The sequence below is a fragment of the Homo sapiens genome, chromosome X (assembly GCF_000001405.40).
Source record: "Homo sapiens chromosome X, GRCh38.p14 Primary Assembly".
Classification (NCBI taxonomy): domain Eukaryota; kingdom Metazoa; phylum Chordata; class Mammalia; order Primates; family Hominidae; genus Homo; species Homo sapiens.
The window spans coordinates 134,765,117-134,769,565 of record NC_000023.11 but is presented as its reverse complement, the minus strand read 5'-3'; positions in this window follow the sequence as shown (position 1 = coordinate 134,769,565).

Below are 4,449 nucleotides of genomic sequence, written 5' to 3'. Positions count from 1 at the left end.
CTAGTGTTTTAAAAGTCTGTCCTTTGTTCTTAATAATAATTATTTTCTGCCCCTATATCCCAGTAGTTTATTCTCTGTGTCTAATTGCAGGTCAAGTTTGAATAAAAGGATATCAGAAACACAAAAGAACGAATAGCTATGTTGAAGTTGGGGCTGTTTGCCAAAACGAAGTGAAACCTCTCCACATAATCAAATTTTCAAGAGTATTTTGTAGAATTTGACAACTTAGAAGGTTCTTGCCAGGGTCATACATCTTTCTTCCTCGTTTTCAATTTGGTTTATCTTGTTAAAATTTTTACATATTGATAAGCCTCTATAAATTATTTTTAGAAAAAGATGAGGGTAGATAAACAGGCAAAAGGGTCCGGGCACAGTGGCTCACGCCTGTAATCCTAGCACTTTGGGAGGCTGAGGCAGGCAGATCACGAAGTCAAGAGATCAAGACCATCCTGGCCAACATGGTGAAACCTCGTCTCTACTAAAAATACAAAAATTAGCTGGACATGGTGGTGCACACCTGTAGTCCTAGCTACTCGGGAGGCTGAGGCAGGAGACTCGCTTGAATCCGGGAGGCGGAGGTTGCTATGAGCCGAGATTGTGCCACTACACTCCAGCCTGGTGACAGAACAAGACTCCATCTTAAAAAAACAAAAAACAGGCAAAAAGCCTTTTATGTGTGATTCAGATTATTAAGTTTATCTTCAGTTTCTTTTTTTTTTTTTTTTTTTTGAGGCAAAGTTTTGCTCTTGTTGACCAGGCTGGAGTGCAGTGGCACAATCTCTGCCCACTGCAACCTCTGCCTCCTGGATTCAAGCATTTCTTCCTGCCTCAACCTCCTGAGTAGCTGGGACTACAGGCGCCCGCCACCATGCTTGGCTAATTTTTGTATTTTTTAGTAGAGATGGAGTTTCATCATGTTGGCCAGGCTGGTCTCAAACTTCTGACCTCAGGTGATCTACCTGCCTCAGCCTCCCAAAGTGCTGGGATTACAGGCGTGAGCTACCTCGCCTGGCCCTATCTTCAGTTTTTAAGAAATAACATGAGCTGCTTTATTTTAAAATACATTTTGGGCTGGGCATGGTGGCTCACGCCTGTAATCCCAGCACTTTGGGAGGCCAAGGCGGGTGGATTGCTTGAAGCCAGGAGTTTGAGACCGGCCTGGGCAACATGGCAAAACCCTGTTTCTACTAAAATTACAAAAATTAACTGGATGTGGTGGCGTGCGCCTGTAATCCCAGCTACTTGGGAGGCTGACGCTTGAACCTGGGAGGCAGAGGTTGCAGTGAGCTGAGATTGCACCACTGCACTCTAGCCTGGGTGACAGAGCGAGACTGTTTAAAAAAAAAAAAACAAAAAAAAACCTTTACATTTTGAAATTTGAAATAATTTCAAACTTACAAAAAAGTTGTAAGAGTAGCTCAAATAACTCCTATATATCCTTCACCCAGGTTCCTTAATTGTTAACATTTAACCACATTTGCTTTGTCTATCTGTCTCTCCTATATATGCACTATCATTCTGTCTCTCCCTGTGTCTCTCTGTGTGGGGGGGATGTATATACATATATATATATATGCACGTATACATTTTTTTCCTGAATCATATGATGCCCCATTGCCCTTACATGCTTCAGCGTAAATTTCTTAAAGATATTCTACATAACCACATTACAACTATCAAAATCAGAAAATTAACTGACACAAAACTGCCATCTATTAGCTGAGCATAGTGGCTCCCAGCATTTTGGGAGGCTGAGGCGAGAGGATCACTTAAGTCCAGGAGTTTGAGACCAGCCTGGGCAACATAGCAAGACCCTGGTATCTATATTTTTTTTAAATAAAAAGATTTTTTTAAACTGCCTCTGATCTACAGACCCATTCAGTTTTTGCCTATAGTTGTGATAATGCCGTTTTTGGCAAAAGGGAAAAAATCTTTTTTTTTTCTTCTGGAGGAGGAGACTTTCTTATCTTAGTAACTGACACCCTCACCCACCCAGCTACTCAAACCAAGAACCCAGGAGTTAACCTTGACTTGTTGCTTACTTTCATTCCTTGCATATAATTTTTCAGCATGACTTTTCATACTGTTTCTGAGATATATCTTCTTGCCCTTGTCAAAGAGGAACAATACCAGACATAGTTAGCAACACAGATTTTATTCAGACTACTTCAATAGGGGAGAGACCCCTATTTCTTCTAGAGGAGGCACATGGTGTTACTTTGTCCTGTTACTAGTGATGATAACTTTGATCCCTTGGATAAGGTGGTGTCTACTGTCTTTTTCCCATTGAAATTAAAGTATTTTGTGTGGAGGTACTTTGAGACTATAAATATCCTGTTTACTCATTAAACTTTGACCCCCTAGTTTTAGCATTCATTGATCTTTCTTGTCTGATGGTATTATGATGGCTGCCTGATAGTATCATGATGGCTACCTAATGCTGGCTCTAATTCCATCATTAATTTATTAGTTGACATTCTACTGTAAAGGAGAACACACTCTCCTCCACCACTTTGCATCAGTGTGGACTCATGGACTCCTGTTTTAGTTAGTTTTACTTCATTACCATGATTGTTTTGATATTCAAGTTGCCTCAGATTTGGAAAATGAGGGCCCCTCCAACTTGTCCCTGTGTCCTTTGGACAAATCCCTATCAGTTTCTGAGCAGTTTTTTACTTTTCTGGCTCAAGATGTCCCAGATTCATACTCTGCTTGCCCCAGCCCCTGGGATCAGCCATTTCTCTGAGGAGCCCCTTGATTCCTTTTAATAGAGAACAATGTTTAAAAACCAAGGTGGGGAACTAGGTATATCATCGCTATTGGGGCATCATTGTTTAAAGGCCTCAGATCACAGAGAAAAACACATGTATGTGTATATATACACCATGTAAATGTATATACACATCTATATTTGTTTATTAAATATAATGAGTTCAAACTATACCTCTGATTCCAATTCAGTACCACAGGGTTCATTCCAGTGTTTATCTCAGTGTAATTACTCCTTTCTCCTATGTGTAACCAATTTCCTACCCTGCCAGCTGGCTACCCGGCCTGCCTCCTCAGCCCCATCCATCTCCTTGGCTCTGACCCTGATGGCCTGCCAGTCCTGGCTGCCTGGATGGAAGGAAGGAAAGAGGATCTAAGTCCTCAAGTTTTAAATATCCCTGGTTCACACCCACCCCAACCACCACAAGCTCCTTATCTTCTGTGCTTGACTGTTCACAGCTTGGGAATTTCTTACATTCATCAATTTAACAAATATTTATTGAGCCCTGTGCTGTGAACTGTAAATGCAGATTAATTTCATGCCTTTGGCCGGGCACGGTGTCTCATGCCTATAATCCCAGCACTTTGGGAGACCAAGGTAGGTGGATCACCTGAGGTCAGGAGTTTGAGACCAGCCTGGCCAACATGGTGAAACCTGTCGCTACTAAAAATACAAAAATTAGCTGGGTGTGGTGGCATGCCCCTGTAATCCCAGCTACTAAGGAGGCTGAGGCAGGAGAATTGCTTGAACCTGGGAGGCTGAGGTTGCAGTGAGCCAAGATCGTGCCACTGCACTCCAGCCTGGGCAACAGAGTGAGACTCCATCTCAAAAAAAAAAAAGCATGGCTTCAAGGAGAGCAGTAGAACAGAATAGTCAGGCACACTGATTACTGGAAGCGCACTGATAGAGTGTGTTGGAGAGCATCAAGGGAGAACACCCCCCTCCCCCCCATGCTTCCCAGAAGAGGGAACACTAAGGCTGAATCTTGAAGAACAAACTTGGCATGAGTCAAGGAGTTAGGTAGAGGGAAATAAGATACAGGTGAGAAGAGACTAAAGCACCGTTACAGAAATGCTAGTAATTTGCTAATATAGGAGATGCAGCTGGAGAGGAAAACAGACCTCATCTGTTCTTTGGGGATTTGGGAGTCTTTAGCTTATGTAGGTGGAAGCTATAGCTGTAGATGTAAACAGGAAGATCATCCAGACAAGAAGGTTAGGGACAAAATCCTGATAAGCATCATCATTTAAGAGGCTGACAGATCACGAGGTCAAGAGATCGAGACCATCCTGGCCAACATGGTGAAACCCTGTCTCTACTAAAAATACAAAAATTAGCCAAGCGTGGTGGTGTGCACCTGTAGTCCCAGCTACTCAGGAGGCTGAGGCAGGAGAATTGCTTGAACCCGGGAGGCAGAGCTTGCAGTGAGCCGAGATTGCGCCACTGCACTCCAGCCTGGCGACAGAGCAAGACTCCGTCTCAATTAAAAAAAAAAAAAAAAAGAGGCCGACTGAAGATAAGAAGGGATGGCCTAGTGAACCATAAGGAGAGAGTGGTGGTCTACAGGGTCAATTGAAATGAGGACTGAAATTTTCCCATTGGATCTTAAAATTAGAAGGTCCTCTGGAGGCTCTCATTAGTGTACTGTTAGAGGTTGAAGGAGCCAAAGTTGAATTGCA